Raw genomic sequence first — 19,796 nt, 5'->3', positions numbered from 1 at the left:
ATAATTTTTGTATTTTTTGTAGAGATGGGGCTTCACCACACTGTGCAGACTGGTCTCGAACTCCTGGACTCGAGCATTCTGCCCACCTCAGCCTCCCAAAGTGTGGCATTATAGGCATGAGCCACCACACCCAGCCCCAAGTGTTTTTCTTATATTATTTTGTTTACTTTTCCAATAATTTGCTTTATACAATAAGGTACAAATTATTTATATTTCTAATAGATATAATCAATAGAGAATTCATAATAGTATTAAGCATTTATTCATCAAATGATACAGTACCAAAGATACATAAAGCAATAACTTTGGAGATAAAAATAAGGATTTGTAGAAATGCAATTGACATGTAACATAATAACAGCCCCTTCACAAGCTCTGTACAAAATCAACTAGACAAAAATAAGGAAGGTAAGGAAATTTGAACCATATACTTTCTTTACATGTGTCCAAAGAACATCTTTTTGAAAAATAATCCGTTATTAGAGCAAAGAAAATCTAAAAGAAATAAATCAAAACAGCAATAATTGAAAAGGCCACATTATCTGATTAAAGAGAATAAAATTAAAAATTCGTAAAACATTTAATTTACAACAACTCTTTTAGCCTATTTTCATTGTCACATTGCTATACAGCACTACTGGAGAGTGGGTAATTTATTAAAAAAAAAAAAAAGGTTTATTTGACTCACAGTTCCATAGGCTGTACAGGAAGCATGGCTTGGGAGGCCTCAGGAAACTTACAATCATGGCAGAAGGCCAAGGAAAAGCAGGCACATCTTACATGGCCAGAGAAGGGGGACTAGAGTGAAGGGGGAAGTGCTACACATTTTAAACAACCAGACTTCATGAGAACTCATTCACTATCACAAGAGCAGCAAGGGAAAAGTCTGCCCCCATGATCCAATCACCTCCCACAAGGCCCCTCCTCCAACACTGGGGGTTACAATTCGACAAGAGATTTGGCTGAGGACACATACCCAAAACATATTATTTCACCCCTGGGACCTCCCAAATTTCATGTCCTTCTCACATTTCAAAATACAATTATCCCTTCCCAACAGTCCCCCAAAGTCTTAACTCATCTCAGCATTAACTGAAATGTATCATCTGAGATAAGGTATGCCTCTTCCACCCATGAGCCCATAAAATCAAAACCAGTTAGTTACTTCCAAGATATAGTGGGGATACAGGCACTGGCTAAATATGACCATTCCAAAATGGAGAAATCAGCCAAAACAAAGAGACTACAGGCCCCATGCAAGTCCAAAACCCAGCAGGGCAGTCATTAAATCTTAAAGCTCCAAAATAATCTCCTTTGACTCCATGTCTCATATAGAGGCAACACTGATGCAAGGGGTGGGCTCCCAAGACCGTGTGCTTCTCCACCCCTGTGTCTCTGCAATGTACAGCCCCCTTGCCTGCTTTCACAGGCTGGCACTGAGTGCCTGCAGCTTTTCCTAGCACACGGTGCAAGCTGTCGGTGGATCTACAATTCTGGGGTCTGGAGGATGGCTGCCCCCTTCTCACAGCTCCACTAGGCAGTGCCTCAGTGGGGACTCTGTGTGGGGGCTCCAACCCCACATTTCCCCTCTGAACTGTCCTAGTAGAGGGTCTCCATGAGGACTCCACTCCTGCAGCAGATTTCTGCCTGGATATCCAGGTATCTCCATACATCCTCTGAAATCTAGGTGGAGGCTCCCAAGCCTCAACTCTTGCACTCTGTGCACGCTCAGGCTTAACATCACATGGAAGCCACCAAGGCTTATGGCTTGTACCCTCTGGAGCAGCTGCCTGAGACATAGCTGGAGCCCTGTTAGCCACAGCTGGAGCAGGAGCAGCTGAGAGACAGGGAGCAGTGTCCTCGGGTTGCGCAGGGCAGCAGGGCCCTGGGCTTGACCTACAAAACCATTCTTCCCTCCTAGGCTTCCAGGCCTGTGAGGAAAGGAGATGCCATGAAGGTTTCTAAAGTGTCTTCAAGGCATTTTCCCCAATGTCTTGGCTACTAACATTCCACTCTTCTTTACTTATGCAAATTTCTGCAGGCAGCTTGAATTCCTCCCCAGAAAATGGGTTTTTGTTTTGCTACCACGTGGTCAGGTTGCAAATTTTCCAAACTGTTATGCTCTGCTTCCTTTTTAAATATAAGTTTCAGTTTCAGATTATCTCTTTGTTCACACATAACAAAAATGAGCTTGGTTCCAGTTCTCAATAAGTTTCTCAAATCCATCTGAGACCTCCTCAGGCTGGACTTCACTGTCTATATCACTATCAGCATTTTGGTCACAACAATGTAACAAGTCTCTAAGAAGTTCCAAACTTTCCCTTACTTTCCTGTATTCTTCTGAGCTCTCCAAACCCTTTCAACCTCTGTCCATTACCCAGTTCCAAAGCTGCTTCCATATTTTCAGGTATCTTTATAGCAATGCCCCACTTCCCGATACCAATTTTCTGTTTCTGTCACCTCTCACATTGCTATAAAGAACTACCTAAGACTGGGTAATTTATAAAGAAAAGAGGTTTAATTGACTCACAGTTCCATAAGCTGTACAGGAAGCATGGCTGGGGAGGCCTCAGGAAACTTACAACCATGGCAGAAGGCTAAGGGGAAGCAGGCACATCTTACGTGGTCAGAGAAGGAGGACTAGAATGAAGGGGGAAGTGCTACACACTTTTAAATAACCAGACCTCATGACAACTCACTCACTATCATGAGAACAGCAAGGGAGAAGTCTGCCCCCATGATCCAATCCTCCAACATTAGTGGTTACAATTCGACATGAGACTTGGGCGGGGACACAAATCCAAACTGTATTAAACACTAATAAAAATTCACATTTGGGAAAAAAAGTAATCCTTTCTTATCCTAAAAATAAAATTCCATAAAGCTATACTTAGAGGTGAACTTCTGGCCTTAAATGCTTTTATGATCAAGAAGAGAAGATAAACTAATAAAATCACTACTTAAATAAGTAAGATGTAAACAATAACTTTCCTTTAAATCACTATTAAACTGTTAAAAGTAAAATGGAGGAAACATCCCATTTATAATAGTAAAACAATAAAAATAGAACCATATATACTTAAAAAATGTGCAGGAACAATACAAAGGAATTATAAAATTATATGAGGACATTAAAAATGTGAATATTCAGTTAATAGGATTGTTTAAAAAATGTGAATACATTGAGAGATGCATCATGCTTCTGAATGTAAAAGCTGTGAAATGATCAGTTTGTCCCAAGTTAATTTCTGGATTTCATGTAAGTCTAGTCACATTGCTAATTAAAATTTTTAAATTGATAAAGTAACTAAACATTTATCTTGAAGTATAAACAATGAAGACTATTTTCTAAAAATTAGAAAACTAGGAGTAATGAGGAAAGAGACAACCAGCAACTAAACATATCAGAGACTTCTACTTCTGGTAAGAGAGGATAATGCAGACTAAGTGTCTCAGATAAACACTCTCCTGAAGGCAACTAGACAAACTAAACAAAATATAATGATCCTCTGCTCTAAGGTAGAGGATAGCTAACGAGAAAGTGAAGAATTCTTGGGTTACGAACCAGGGAAGTACAGTGGCCCAGGGAAGTAAACCAGGGTAGTGTTGGTCATTCCAAAGGGGCTGCTGAGGGACTAGGAGGCTGATCTGTGCTTTCACAGTCTCTTGGGGCAGAGAAAACAGGGAAAGGAATTTCAGGTGCACTGAAGGGAACTCCAGTAAAGCCTCTCACTTTGGGTTGAGATTCTAAAGAGCTGCTTCTAAGGATTTTTTTTTTTTTTTTTTTAGAGAGAGACAGGGTCTTGCTCTGTTGTTTAGGCTGGAGTTCAGTGGCACAACCATAGCTCACTGCAGCTCACTGCAGACTTGAACTCCTATTCTCAAGTGATCCTCCCACCTCAGGCTCCTTTAGTGCTAGGATTACAAGTGTGAGCCATTGTGTCTGAACTCAAGGAGGATTAATAAACTGAAATACATGGGGCATAGGTGGGAACTACAGTTTAATTTCTAATCATCTTAGCTCCTCAGTTTGGTGCATGTGACCCCAGGCACTACAAATGTAAATCCTCTCAGAAGGAAGAAATTATTACCCAAGTTCTCTCAATTATTTCTAAAACAATTTTGCAAGTATGTATGGCACATAATAGAAAATAGCCATGTACATGAGGAGGTAAGACAATAGGAATACAACACAGCACAGACAAAGGAAAATACAAACATCTCCAGGTGCAGCAGCTCACGCCTGTAATCCCAGCACTTTCGGAGACCACGGTGGGCGGATGGCTTGAGGTCAGGAGTTCAAGAACAGCCTGGCCAACATGGTGAAACCCCATCTCTACTAACAAACCAGAAATTAGCCAGGCGTGGTGGCACACACTGGTAATTCCAGCTACTCAGAAGGCTGAGGCACAAGAATTGCTTGAACCTGGGAGGTGGAGGTTGCAGTGAGATCATGCCACTGCACTCCAACCTGAGTGACAGAGTGAGACTCTGTCTCAAAAAAAAAAAAAAGAAAAAGAAAAATATAGACAGACACATGAGGTCTTTAAATATTAGAGTTTCTAGACACAGACTTTAAAATAACCATGTGTACTCTCTTCAGAGAGATAAAAGATTGAGAATTTTGGCAGATATTTTAAAAAATGGAATTTAGAACTGAAAAACTCAATAACTGAAATTAAGGAGTCAATGGATTGAGTTTAACAGCAGATTAAAACAACTGAAGAGAAATTAGTGTCCTGGAAGACAGACTACAAGAAATTTCTAGAATGAGGTACAAAGAGACAAGAAGATGGAAAACACAGATGAGAAGGTAAGAGACATAGAGAATTCAGTAAGGACTAGCTTAAGTGTAGAGCCCCAAAAGGAGAGAATAGGGAGAAGGGAGACAAACAATATTTCTATAGATAATTTAGTTAGAAATCATTTAATAAACATGAATTACATATTTAAGGACCTCTAAAAGTTCCAAACAGAATAGAAAAAAAGAAAAAGAAGGAAGGAAGGAAGGAAAGAAAGGAGGGAGGGAGGGAAGAAGAAAGACAGAATGAGATCTATGTTTAGGCACATCACAGTGAAAAACAAGATAAATAAAACTTAGAAGAAAAGAGAGATTGTCTTAAAATAAACCCCCCAGAAAGACAATTTAAATTCAAAGAAGCTACATTAAACTGACAGTTGATTTCTAGCAGAAGTCATGGAAGTCAAAATATACTGGAATAACATCTTTAAGATTCTAAAAACACCAATCAACAAACTAACCATTTCAACCTAGAATTTCATATCCAGCAAAAATATCCTTCAAGAATAAAGGTGAAAGAAAGGCATTTTTAAAATTGCTTGAACCTGGGAGGTGGAGGTTGCAGTGAGCTGAGATAGCACCACTGCACTCCAGTCTGGGTAACAGAGCAAGACTCCATCTGGGGAAAAAAAAAAAAGTTCCAGGTGCTAGCATCTTCTGCATTTGTGCAAACAACAATAGTAACGTTGGTATTTAAAATACAGGGAGAAAATACCTGACAACAATGGCATAAAGGTTAGGTGAAGATTAATAGAAATATTCTAAGGTGCTTGCACTCCCTGGAAAGAGGCAAAGACACCAATTCTTATTAGACTTTGTAACGTCAAAAAGGTAGGCTATACTCATTAGAGTAATTACCTAGAGACCTAGGGTACCACCAAAAGAATAATTAAAAGGCATACAATTTCCAAGCTAATGGACAGGGGGAAATGAAATAGTAAAAAATCTTATCAATCTGAAAAAGGGCAAGAAAGGAATATAACATGGAGCAGGCAGAAAAAAGAGAGTGTGTTTAATAAGAAGGTATATTTACACCCCCAAATATCACTAATTAATGAAATGTAAATGGGCAAAATGCTATAATTAAAGGCAAAGATTGTCACACTGGATAGACAAGCATATTTTTTTCTCTGTATAATTTGATGCTACATTATTAGGTAAAGATAGATACACGCACATAAGCACATGCTCAACTTTCTGTGTTTACAACATAAAAATACAAAAACATAAAGTAAAAAGATGGAAAAAGCCAAAAACTAGTTCTCTGAAAATACTTGTATCTCCCTAGTGAGAATAATTTTTGAAAGAGAGAGGAGGCACAGATTACCAGTGTTAAGAATGAGAAAGAGAACATCACTACAGATCATTCAGACATTGAAAAGACAAGAGAAGGATATTATGGACTATTTTATGCCAATGCATTTGAAAATTTGGATGAAATGGACAAATTCTTATAACAATAAATTTTATAAAATCGAGCACAGAAAGACAATAAAGAACTCTTGATTTATGACAAAGGTGACACACAGAGAAATGGGAAAAGGATGATCTCTTCAATAAATAGAGCTGGGGCAATTTCCAAATACAAAAAAAAATTAACAAGCTTGATTAGTATGTCACACCAAAAAGAAAAATAGATTCCAAAATATTTATAGGTATAAATGTGAAAGTCCACAAAATAAACCTAGAAGATAATTTTGACTATCCTCATAACCTCAAAGTAGGAAAAGATTTCTTAAATATATATAGAAATATACTTTAAAATGTAACATATTTATATAAAATATAAAACATATATTGTAACATACAAATTTATATTTAAATATATTTTCTTAAAATATATTTTAAAATATATTTCTTAAATAAATGTGAGATTTGAACAATAATGTTAACCACAGAGGAAAAGATTGATAAATTGGATTTCATCAAAATTGCGAACTTCTTTTCATCAAAATGACGAGAATAAGAGGGCAAGTGACAGAATAAAGGAAATTATTTGCAATATATTTATCATATAAAGAACTTGTATTAATCAATAAAGACAGACAATCCCGTAGCAAATGAACAAGACACTTCACGAAAATGATATTCCAATGTCCAATAAATGTATATAAAAGTACTTTATTTCCTTATCAGAGAAATGCATACCATTTCAATGTTATTACAATTACAATCTCACCAGAATGGCTAGAATTAAAAGGATTGGCAACACAAATGCAGAAGATGCCAGCAACTGGAACTTTTTTTTTTCCCCAGATGGAGTCTTGCTCTGTTACCCAGACTAGAGTGCAGTGGTGCTATCTCAGCTCACTGCAACCTCCACCTCTCAGGTTCAAGCAATTCTCCTGCCTCAGCCTCCCAAGTAGCTGAGATTACAGGCACTCGCCACCACGCCCGGCTAATTTTTGTATTTTTAGTAGAGATGGGGTTTCATCATGTTGGCCAGGCTGGTCTCGAACTGCTGACCTCATGATCTGCCCACCTCAGCCTCCCAAAGTGCTGGGATTACAGGCATGAGCCACAGCTCCCGGCAGCAACTGTAACTTTTGATGCAGGATTTTTCTTCTCGGTCACTTTGCAAACCGGGACCTCCGGCCAGCGATGCCCCACCCGCGCCCTGCTCAGCCACGCTGGCATGCCCCAGCTCGCCTGTGTTATAGCTTCTATCCGCGTTCGGCGGTTCCCAAGCTCTTGTACCCACGTTCGGCGGTTCCCAAGCTCTTGTACCCGCGTTCGGCAGTTCCCAAGCTCTTGTACCACGCCTGAGAAGAATGAGGATACGTTGGACATTGAAGGGTGAAGAGGGCGGAGAAGAATTTTATTGAGCAAGGGAACAGCAATTAGCGGAGAAGGGACTCTGGGGGGTGGTCGCCCACCCCCTTAGTCGGATGGTTTTTTCCTCCCCTCGTGGCTGGGTCACGAGCTTTTTATAGGCTTAGAATAGGGGAGGGGCAGGTCATAGGTAGTATTGGAAAAGGCAACGCTTGATCGGTTAAAACGCATTATTTAGAAATAATTAATCAGGAAAGAGCGGGGGCAAAAAGGAACAGAAATACTCAGCCTGTGTCGCGGGTTTCATCTGGGACCAGCAGTTCAGTGTTTTTGGCTGGAAGGTGGGGTTTCACCCCATCCTCCTGGGCATTTAGCAGCCTCCAGCCGCTCTCACTTTCGTGTGCCATGGACGAGATGATAAACTGAGATTGTAGAGGAGTTGCAGTTCTTGGCAGTGACCAGGTCTAGAGAACGACCACTGAGGTAAGTGACTGAGGTGGGTAGATGACAAGGGGAGTTAAAGGTGCTGAGAGGCCTGGGTACAGAAGCAGTCATCAGCGTGGATATTAAAATCACCAGGAACAAAGGCTGACGTGGTTTCGGAGAGACTTACAGAAAGCTAAAAGCTAAAATGATGGAGATGTGAGGGGCTCAGCTCAACTGATGACGGTATCAGTAGGTGTGGTAGACGGTGGATGGTATAGTCTGAGGACAGGAGGTGAAAGCTAGGGGAGCACAGGGACTTTCTGGTCCACCACCATCCTCGTCTGTCTGACCAATACATCTCTCTGCTGGGTTTCTATGTTATCTTTTTCTCTTTTAAAATTTAATTACATTCCATCTCATAGATTTCAATCGTTGATTTACTTATTCCCTTTCCCAACCACTCTATGAGAACACCACGTCTAATTTGATTTTGTGTTCCCGAGGCCTCGCTCATTGGAAGCACTCAAAGATTCTTTGTTGGATGTATGAATGAAGAACTTGTTAAGTGCACCCGCAGAGTATACGTGGTTGGCTCAGCCACGCGAGGTTCAGTGTTAAGCACAGTCCACTGGGAGGCAGTGTTGTGCAGTGAAAAGGTCTCAGCTTTACGAGACAGAAGGCCAGATCTCCAACATCAGTTCTGCCACCTTCTATCTGCCTGACCTTGGGCCACAGTCTCCTTAAGACACAGGCAAAATGGGAATACTGAGAAAGAGAGTCATTTTCTTACAGGAGTACTGTGAAAATTAAAGGTAATTTAGGTAGATTTAGGTACAATATCCGCATATAGTCGGTGTATTTATCATAGGGTAACTTGATTGCTTTCTAATAACAGTAAGCACGATTGCAGGTTAAGTCTTCCAAAGAAGTGTTTTTCATAATCATGCTGCAAATGATTCTCACTCTAAAATTGTCAGCCCAATTCTCACCTCTCTCAGAGGCCTTGTGGTTGGATGCTTGAGGCTCAGAGGTTCTCAGGGCTCCATGAGACTGGGGGCTCCACTGGGGATCAGGCAAGTCCAAGACTTAAGGGACTGGCCCTGGTTCAGCTGCATGTGCATTAAATAGATTTTTGTGCACTGGCCTGGGAAACAAGCCACCATCTATAATTCTGTTTCTATGGGGAAAGGCTTTCTGTGTTCCAAACAACCGACTTACTAATGAACTCCTGGAACACAACCTATGTGTCGATGGGGACTGGCCGACTGGGTTTTCATGGCCGAGTCAGCCGCCCAAGCAACTGCACAGTGTTGAGCTAATTATAATGGGTTCTCTACGGTGACTAATCTAGCTGTGGTCTCCACAATTGAAGTGGAATTTTGAAAAACTGGAGAAGGTTCTGCAAAAAACCACAAAGATGATTAAAGGACTTAAGGAAAATCTAGTCTGGTCTCTACAGTTTTAAGAGGACTGTAGAAACTATCCATGTAATCATCACTCTCGATTGAAAAAACAAAGTATGCACGCCTGTAGTCCCAGCTACTCGGGAGGCTGAGGCACAAGAATCGCTTGAACCTGGGAGGTGGAGGTTGCAGTGAGCCGAGATCGTGCCACTGCACTCCAGCCTAGCATCAGAGCGAGACTCCATCTCAAAAAAGAAAAAGAAAAAACAAAGTATTTGATTCTGTACTGTGGCAAGTGCATTTCTCACTTGTAAATTTACTATAAATTGGCAGAGAAGGGAGCCAGAGTTTGTTGGGCACCCACACCAGGGGATTAGACACTCTGCAGGCCCTTTACATGCAATATTTATACTTATTCTCACAGCTACCCTGCCAGATAAGGCATACTAATAATTATCTCTGTTTTACAGATGAGGAAACTGAGATTGTGTGAGATTAAGTAATTTTTTGAAAATCTTAAAATTAATAACATGGACCATAGATTTAAACCTAGGCCAGATTAATTTCAAAGCTTCTCTAATCAATTTTCCACATGCAGCCAGAATGATCTTTCTGAAACATAAACCTGAGAGGGTCCTTCCCCTGCATCAACACTTCCATGGCCTCACTATGCTCCTGGGATGAAATCCAAGCCTAACATGACCGATGTGACCCCAGGTGTTCTGCCTCCCACATAGCAGCCCTGGCTCCTACTGTCACCCACTCCCACTCTGCCCTGATGATAGCATCTATATTCAGAGATCTTTCCACTTCTTGATTTCTCCATATGCCTCCAGCCTCCAAGCCTCACACACATAGCTCCACCTGCCTTCCTGCTGTGTCTCCTGTTGGCCAACTTTCTCCCACTCACCCTATGCATCTCAGCTTGCACATGCCTTCTAGGTACAGGCTTATCAGCCCTTCTCTTGGGTCTCAGGGCGTGCCACATTTCCTGTATAACAGCATTCATCACTAGGAATTGGTTCAGCCACATCTCCCAACACAAACACACACACCCCTCACTCAAGAATTATCTGTTAAAGAAATGTTGAATGGAGTGGGGTGTGGTAGCTCACACCTATAATCCTAGCACTTTGGGAGGCTGAGGTAGGAGGATCACCTGAGGTCAGGAGTTCGACACCAGCCTGGGCAACATGGTGAAACCCTGTCTCTACTAAAAATGCAAAAATTAGCCGGGCATGGTGGTGCACGTCTGTAATCCTGGCTACTCAGGAGGTTGAGGCAGGAGAACTGCTTGAACCCGGGAGGCAGAGGTTGCAGTGAGCCGAGATTGTGCCACTGCACTCCAGCCTGGGCAACAGAGTGAGACTCCATCTCAAAAAAAAAAATGTTGACTGATTATATCACAAGTTATTTAGTTATTTTTACAAGCAATAGTTAAAAGACTGACATTTACAAAACATTTACCTTTTTAAAAAAGAGGAGTTGAGGTTATCCTGATCACCAACAAGTAGCTCTTGTTTCCTAATATGTTTTCTTGAGAAGAAGGAAAGGAACACAGCTGCCCGTAGGATGCTGGGAGTTGTGCAAAACGTTAGTTTAGCATGCACATCGAGTGTGTCCCACAGTGAACATCATCCACTGCCATCCTGGTCATGGTAGAAATGAGACTGCCAGGCTTCCCGCCCTTTACTTCAGGAAAGAGCCAATCTACTGCATTTAAAAGAATATTGATTTTGCAAAGTCCTCCAAAGAAAAATCTCCAGCCCTATCTGGTGTCAAACAACCCTAGGCATCAGGAAATTCTTCCTTTTGTTTAACTTTAATGAGCCCATTCTTTTTGTGTCCTTGGCAACAGAGGGAAAAAACAGTCATCATCCTCCACGCAATGGCTCTTCTGAAGTTTAAGTCCAATGCTGGCACTTCTTAATTCACCTCTGATGCATCTCCTCTCTAGGCTAAATAATCCTAGGTCCTTTAGCCCTTGTTTGCTGGTCACAGGATGACTATTCTGCTTTAGCTCTGAACTCTCCACATTCTCTCAATTCCCGTAGAACTATGGAGCCGGGAGCCAGCCCCAGCTCTCCGTTACAGCTCTGGACAGTACAGAGAGCAATGTAACAATTACCTCATGATACAGACATGCTTTTCATTTGCTACAGTTCTCTGCTTGCATTTTTTTCAATCAACAGAGCTGCAGGATTGTGACAATTCTTCCCGGTCAACTGGCTGTCCACTAAAGCTATACTTTAAATTTTCCAGCCAACTGCCTTTGAGTAGTTGGCACCTTGCCTTTGAACATGTTCACTTTTCAACTCCAAGTGCATAACCCTGAATTTTTCTCTACTGAACCCCATCCAGTTTATGTCCCATTATTCCAGTTGACCAGGATTGCCTTCTCTGATGACTCTAGCCCCCTGAGATCTTCCGGTTTTATGATATTTCAGGGTTTGCGTTATGTTTCCCATGCGTATTTCTTATTGACCAGTGCATTAGTCAGATTAAGCTAAAATATGCTGCAGTAAACAAATCAGCAAATCTCAGCGGCTTAGAACAATAGTCTGGGGTAGTTTTTTGTTTTGTTTTGTTTTCGAGAAGGGGTCTCACTCTGTTGCCCAGGCTGCAGTGCAGTGGTGCAATCTCGGCTCATTGCAGCCTCCACCTCCTGGGTTCAAGCCATCCTCCCACCTCAGCCTCCGAAGTAGCTGGGACTACATACGTGCACCACCACATCCAGCTAATTTTTTAATTATATATGTATTTGGGAGATGGGGCTTGCTATGTTTCCAAGGCTGGCCTCGAAATCCTGGACTGAAGCAATCCTCCCCACTTGGCCTCCCAAAGTGCTGGGATTACAGATGTGACCCACCATGCCCAGCCAGATTGTTTTTCATATTCACACTACATTTCCCACACTAATTGGCGGAGGGGTTCTGATCATCAGAGTCCAGGTGGCCCAGGTTGACAAAAGTTCTACCACTGTGTGAAATCAACAGAAGGCTTCAGGGTTCATGGAAAATGGAGAAGTTTTATACATATTTAATACAAGTAGAAGTGATACCCGTTGTTCAGTTAATAGGGTTGCTAAAGTTAACAACAAAAAAAGCTAAAAAAATTTTTTTAAAGCGATACCCATTGTTATGCCAACATTTTGTTAGCTAAAGCAAGTCACATGGATGTGACTAATTCTGAGGGGATGTGTGCTCCCAAGGAAAGAACTGGAGAGAAATCTTGGCATTCACTAGTTGTCTCCCAGAACCAATGAGATTCCATTTTCCTAAACACAGTGATCTTGTCTTTTATTTCTGCATCATCATAAATTCAACCATAAATTCTCAAAGAAGACTTATAGATTCTCAGCCAATTTTTCTCCCACCCAGCATCTCTTACAAAAGTAGGGGCATTTTTCTATTCCGTGGTCCAGATTATATACGAAGATATTAGTTCAAAGACCAGATTCTGCCAAAAGCTGCTGGGCAGAATGATGAGGACTGAGCCACTGAGAACAAATTTCCTCTTTACTAAGAGCACTGTACAATATAGAATTGTTTAGAAACCAGTGTCATGAGCTTGTGAGGGACATCTCTTTCAGTCTACCAAATCCACTGCTCAGCCAAATTTGGGTTAGAACTGATCACATGTTACAAACACAAGAGGGAAGTGCAGACCCTCATCAGTGGCTTTAAAATCGAAACAAGACCAAGGAATCTGGTGGAGAAATGAGCCCCACAGAGAAGAAACGACAGTGGCCTAGGAGTCTGAGCTTCACTCAGCTTCTAGGGAGCTCTGTGACCTTTGGAAAGTCTCTCCACCCTGCAGGAAATCAGGTCTAGCTCTGTCATGGAAGAGGGTGGGACTGACCTGTGACTCCCAGCTTGGGTTGCTGCTCAGAGTCCCTGAAGAGATTTTTTTAAAACATGGATTACTAGCCAGGCGCGGTGGCTCACGCCTGTAATCCCAGCACTTTGGGAGGCAGAAGTGGATGGACTGCTTGAGCCCGGGAGTTCGTCAACAGCCTGGGCAACATGGTAAAACACCGTCTCTCCTGAAAATAGAAAAATTAGCTGAGTGTAGTGGCCTGCACCTGTGGTCCCAGCTACTTGGGAGGCTGAGATGGGAGGATCACCTGAGCCCAGGAGTCAAAGGTTGCAATGAGTCAAGATCGCCCTACTGCATTCAGCCTGGGTGACAGAGTGAGACTCTGTCTCAAATAAATAAATATATAAATAACAAAAACAATAACAATAACCATGGATTCTTAGGCTTCACCCAGGCCTTCTAAATCATCTCAGGTGGGACCTGGAATCTATTCTAGAAAATAACCTCTTATGATGCCCTTACGATGTGGGGCACCCCATGACTCTGTCCTTGACCTTCTTTTGGACTGCTCTGTCTTCAGTCCAGACACAAGGAGCACAAAAGTGAACTCAGCCCTTAATGGCTCTGTTAATATCCAGACATCCTACAGGTGATTGCTGCAACCATGAATCCCATCAGCGAAGCCCGAGAAACCTGGATTCATCTTTTAGTCTTTCCTCTTTCCACCCACTTAGTCTTTTTTTTTTTCTTTAAAAGACAAGTTCTAGCTCTATTGCCCAGGCTGGAGTGCAGCTGTGGTATCTTAACTCACTGTGACCTCCATCTCCTGTGCTCAAGTGATTCTCCAATCTCAGCCTCCCAAGTAGCTGGAACTACAGGTGTGTTTCACCACGACCAGCTAATTTTTATATTTTTTGTAGAGACTGGGTTTCACCATGTTGCCCAGGCTGGCCTCGAAGTCCTGAGCTCAAGTGATCTGCCCACTTTGGCCTCCCAAAGTGCTGGGATTACAGGCGTGAGCCACCACGCCCGGCTCCAGTTAGTTTTTCAGCCCTAAACATTCCTCCTGTTTATGCCCAGAGCCACTGCCCCAGCTCAGGCCTTCAACGTCAGTGGCCTGGACTATTGATTGTATCAGCCTCTCTCTAGATGTCCCTGATTTGAATCTCATTGATTCCTCCTCCCATTCCATCCACACCCCTTATTTCCCCAAAGATCTTTTTTTTCTTTTATTTTTTATTTTTATTTTTCTTTTAAGATGGAGTATCGCTCTGTCGCCCAGGCTGGAGTGCATTGGCAGAATCTTAGCTCACTGCAACCTCTGCCTCCAGGTTCAAGCAATTCTCCTGCCTCAGCCTCCTGAGTAGCTGGGATTACAGGCATGCACCACCACACCTGGCTAATTTTGTATTTTTTAGTAGAGATGGAGTTTCACCATGTTGGCCAGGCTGGTCTTGAACTCCTGACCTCGGGTGAACCACCTGCCTCGGCCTCCCAAAGTGCTGGGATTACAGGTGTGAGCCACCATGCCCCACCCACCAGAGTGACCTTTCTAACATAAAAGATCTGCTTAAAAATCTTCAATGTTCTTTCTGTTGACTCCAGTTTAAAATCGAAATTCCCTTGCATGGTATTCAAGGTCCTTGTCCCAGCATGACAGGGCCATGGGCAGGAGCTTCCCTGCTCACAATGCACCCTACAGCAATACTCGGCCATTAGTCGTGCCCCAGCTTCTCCCTGTCTTTGCAGGGGTTGCTTGCTCTGATGGAAACGTTATTCCTAGGCTTCATTTCTGAATATGGATGTCCCACTGCCAGCTTTGGGAAGCCTTCACCATCTCTGCCTATACAGATGGACACACTCCCTGCCTGTGCTGCTGCTAGACTGTGCTTACACTTCCATCACAGAATTTATTTGATTGGGTTATCATGGCTTCTCTGCTGGAATGGAAGCTACTTGGGAGCCTGGGGAAATGCTTGGCTCAAAGCGTAAGTATGTGAAGAATACATGAATGAATGAATGACCCTGTCAGCTCTAAACATCCTATAAGTTTATCTTGCTTCATGGCCAGCACAGGGGCTCATGCCTATAATCCCAGCACTCTGGGAGGCAGAGGCGAGCGGATCACCTGAGCTCCGGAGTTCGGGACCAGCCTGGCCAACATGGCGAAAACCGGTCATACTAAAAATATAAAAATTAGCTGGGTGTGGTGACAGGTGCCTGTAATCCCAGCTACTGGTAGGCTGAGGCAGGAGAATCACTTGAACCTGAGAGGCAGAGGATGCAGTGAGCTGAGATCACACCACTGCACTCCAGCCTGGGCAGCACAGTGAGACTCTGTCTCAAAAAAAAAAAAAAAAAAGTCTATCTTTGCTTCAGTACAAAATATGAAGTATAATATTAAATTCCAAGATTAAATTAATACCTGAGCAATGATTGGCAGCAAGGTATGAATGAAATAGAGGTCTGAGCAGGAGGGGAAGAAGCAGAGAATGGGGAATCAAGATGGGGAAAATGGGTCAGGCGCAGTGGCTGGTGCCTGTAATCCTAGCACTCTGGGAGACTGAGGCAGAGTCTTGAGCCCAGGAGTTCAAGACCAGCCCTGACAACATAGTGAGACCCTGTCTCTACAAAAAATAAAAAAAAAAAATTAGCAGGACATGGTAGCATGCACCTGTAATCTCGGCACTTGGGAGGCTGAGGTGGGAGGATTGCTTGAGGCCAGGAGTTCAAGAGCAGCCTGGACAACATAGTGAGACCCCTGTTTCTTAAAAAAAAAAAGACTGGTCAAAATCAGGGGGTGCACAGAGAAAATAATGTTCAGGCCCCAATTCTGCCCAGAGCAATTCTCAATACTGAAGTTGTTTTAGGGAATCTCAAAGTACAAGTCAAGCAACTAGAAAATTAGGATCCACTTGATTGAAAGTCTCTGAATAGCATGATTTCACAGAAGCACTGCCTGCGTTCTTAAAGCAAATTATTTTCACTTTCTGCTGCTTTTCTCTGACCTTCTTCTCAAGTACTGACATGCACTAAGTTTGAAAAAGCTGAAACTATCCTTAGAAAAATTCCAAGACGCAGAACTTCCAAAGTGAAGAAACCTTTCCGTTGGCTTTTCCCTGGAGGAAAGCTTCACTGACAGGCTCCTTCATGCTCCCTGCAAAGACCAGGGCTCAGATATGTGCCCTCGGTAGTCAAGGCCATCATCACTGTGAAAAATGTCTCTCTTTTAAAACATTTCTTGTTTAAACAAACATTAAAGAAATATTTGGTGCCAGATGCTTAGAGCTGGTGGCACAATGAATTTTTTTTTCTTGAATGTTTATGCTGCCCAGCCTGTAGAATTTAAGTTAACAAAGAACGTTTAGTATAAGGTAGCAATGTGGATGAATAGTTTTTTTGTGTGCTTACTAAAAAGTGGGGCTCCAAAGAACAAATCAGAAACCCATTAGGCATAATTTTGCTTCTCCAAAGATGGACAGAAGTCATGTAGGGGAAATGGAGAAAATTATAAAAGACTGTATTCTAAAGGGGCAATAGTCAAATGTCAGTCGAAGAACTTTTAAATGAAAACCAAACTAGCCAGCAGTTGGGCTATAAGAATGAGCCACCACAACCTGCTCTCTGCATCTCTCCTGTGTGTCTCAATCTCCCTCTGTTTCCCTCTCATACGCAGACACACACACACACACACACACACACACACACACACACACTCTTCACAAATGGAATTTAATAAATCAGAACTTCATCATGGCTCTTTTGGCTTGACACTTAAACTTTCCAATAGTTACTGATATAAAATTTTTTTTTGAGATGGGGTCTCACTCTGTCACACAGGCTGGAGTACAGTGGCTTGATCACAGCTCACTGCAGCCTCAACCTCCTGGGCTCAGGTGATCCTCCCACCTCAGCCTCCCAAGTAGCTGGGACTACAGGCTCGCACCACTGTGCCTGGCTAGTCTTTTATATTTTTTGTAGAGAAAGGGTCTCACTCTATTGCTCAGACTGGTCTCAAACGACTAAGCTCATGTGATCCTCCCATCTTGGTCTCTCAAAGTTCTAGGATTACAGGCATGAGCCCCTGTGCCCACTTTTGCAAAAAATTACAACAGTGAAGCCAGGCACAGTGTCTCATGCCTGTAATCCCAGCACTTTGGGAGACCAAAATGGGAGGGTGGCTTGAGCTCAGGAGTTTGAGACTAGCCTGGGCACTTCAAAATTTTTTTTTAAAAATTAGCCAGGCATGGTGGCATGTGCCTGTAGGCCCAGCTACTTGGGAGGTTGACATGGGAGGATTGCTTAAGCCTGGAAGGTTGAGGCTGCAATGAGCTGAGGTCATGCCACTGCAATTCTGCCTGGGCAACAGAGGAAGACTGCCTCTAAAAAAAAACAAATAAATCACAACAGTGAGAAAATGCCTACAGGGAAAGGCATGGGCCAAACTAACTATGGGAGAAATTTAGTTTATAGTTTAAATAATAATAGCCCTTTTATAATAATTATTATAAAACTAATAAAAGGCCACAAATTTAGGATTAAGAGAAGGGCCTGAATTCTGCTAAGAAGTAGGTTTAGTTAAACAATTACCAGCCATTGTACTGGAGATCACAAGATTTGTAACTTCCCCTATTACTCCTGTGAATAATGTCACTATTGTAGAGCCTAAGATTGGACTTTTGAGATGTCTTTTCAGACTTCTGCACTTCTGATGGTTGGATGACTCCACTGAGACCCAAGACTTAAGACTCACCTGGTCCTATAGCCCCCACCCAGAAGTGGACTCAGCACATAAGAACCATTTTCTACATCTCTATGATTGCACCCCTGACCAATCAGCAGCACCCATTCCCTAGCCCCCAGCCCACCTAACTATCTTGAAAAAACTCTAGCCTCCAAATTTTCAGGGAATCTGATTTGAGTAATAAAATCAACCCATCTGTTATTATTAGTCTGGCCATTTAGCTGGTTCTATGTATATTAAACTGTTTCTCTATTGCAATTTCCCTGTCTTGATGAATCAGCTCTATCTGGGCAGTGGGCAGGATGAACCTGTTGAGTGGTTACACATCTGGGTGTCAATTATTGCTGAGTAACAAACAACTCCAAATTCTGATATTTAAAACTATATTCGGCCAGGCACGGTGGCTCATGCCTGTAATCCTGACAGTTTGAAAGGCAAAGGCAGATGACTCACTTGAGCCCAGGAGTTCAAGACCAGCCTGGGCAACACAGCAAAACCCTGTCTCTACAAAAAATACAAAAATTAGTCAGGCATGGTGGCATGCAACTGTAGTCCTAGTTACTCACAAGGCTGAGGTGGGAGGATGTCTTGAGCCTGAGAGGTTGAGGCTGCAGTGAGCTGTGATTATGCCACTGCCCTCCAGCCTGGGCCACTGAGTGAGACACTGTCCCTAAACAACAACAACAACAACAACAACAACAACAAAACCACATTCATTTACAATCACTCATGTATGCAGAAGTTAGTTAGAATTTGGCAGATCTAGTCTGGGCTCAGTTGGGCAACTCTATTGTAGATTGCAGCAGCCAGAGTGGCTCTGCTGCTCACTGTAGGTCTCAGGGGTGACTCTATGCCCCATGTCACTTATCCTTCTTGAACTAGCAGGCCAGTCTGGGAATGTTTCTTTCATGATGGCTTCTGAGGTTCAAGAGCACAAGTGCAAACACATAAGGTCTCTTAAATCCTAAGCTTGGAATGGCATACTGACATTTCTACTTATGTCATTGGCTGAAGCAGGCAACATTGTCAAGCCCAAAGTCTACCCACAGTAAGGCCTTGACAGTGATATGAAGGCAGGGAGGGGTGAAGAGATTCAATATACTACATCTTCCTTTTCTTTACTTCCTGTAACTGACATGTTACAGAGGCCTATTGATTTTACCACAAAAATCTCCTGAATAGTTCTGCTTTTCATCCTCTCCCTCATCACCGCTCTCATCTAAGCTATCAGGTTTTATCTGGACACTGCAGTAGACTCCTAAATGGTCTCTAGTTATTCAATCTCGGGCCTAACCCCAAAGGGATCTTTTAAATTCACAGACCTGCTCATGTCACTTGCTATGGCTGTTATTTTTTGAGGATAATGACAAAAGTTTCTTCTATGGCCTAGCACCCCCATATAATCTGACAGTCATCAGCTCTCCGGTCTCATCTCTAAACCACTTCCTCTCACTCTCTGTGTTTCAGTCCTAAATGGCTTCCTTGCAGTCTTTCATAAGTGCCTTTACAGATACTGTTTCTTTGCCTAGAACCCTATTCTCTACCACTACCCCATTAATTCTGACTTATCCTTCAGAGTTTAGCTTGAAGATTTTTTCTTTAAGAAAGCCTTCTTTGATGCCACAGACCAGACCACCTCTTTGTTTTGGAGAGTCTGAGTCTCATGTCACCATATACCTTTACATCACTTTTTGCATTTTGCCATCATGGAGCATTTATTTGTGGGATTATTTAATTAATGTCTCATTTCTCCAACCCACAGTGGTAAACTCCTTAAGGATAGGAACTATGTCTATTTTTGCTTATTATTATATCTCAGTGCCCAGCATGG

General features: G+C 42.5%; 1 long non-coding RNA gene across 3 annotated transcripts, besides 1 other annotated feature; it reads left to right on the top strand.

Annotated features, from left to right (window-relative positions):
- Positions 1,138-1,638: an enhancer, noted in NCBI's record as "H3K27ac hESC enhancer chr8:71453867-71454367 (GRCh37/hg19 assembly coordinates)". NCBI's record gives its function as "activates a minimal SCP1, AML or CMV promoter by ChIP-STARR-seq in primed H9 embryonic stem cells {active_cell/tissue: H9 hESC(primed)}" and the evidence as "EXISTENCE:reporter gene assay evidence [ECO:0000049][PMID:30033119]".
- On the top strand, positions 7,325-18,172 carry LOC105375890 (uncharacterized). 3 transcript variants are annotated; one of them, XR_929030.3, is made up of 3 exons: positions 7,325-8,056; positions 15,005-15,209; positions 17,918-18,172. It is a non-coding gene; the product is annotated as an uncharacterized LOC105375890 (long non-coding RNA). The 3 variants fall into 3 exon arrangements; XR_929027.3 differs by having other exon boundaries at positions 14,971-15,209; XR_929028.3 differs by having other exon boundaries at positions 14,971-15,209; positions 17,884-18,172.
- The last annotated feature ends 1,624 nt before the right edge of the window (positions 18,173-19,796 follow it).

Source organism: Homo sapiens, chromosome 8 (assembly GCF_000001405.40).
Source record: "Homo sapiens chromosome 8, GRCh38.p14 Primary Assembly".
Taxonomy (NCBI): Eukaryota; Metazoa; Chordata; class Mammalia; order Primates; family Hominidae; genus Homo; species Homo sapiens.
The sequence above is the reverse complement of the archived record's forward strand: the minus strand, read 5'-3'. Positions and strand labels throughout refer to the sequence as shown.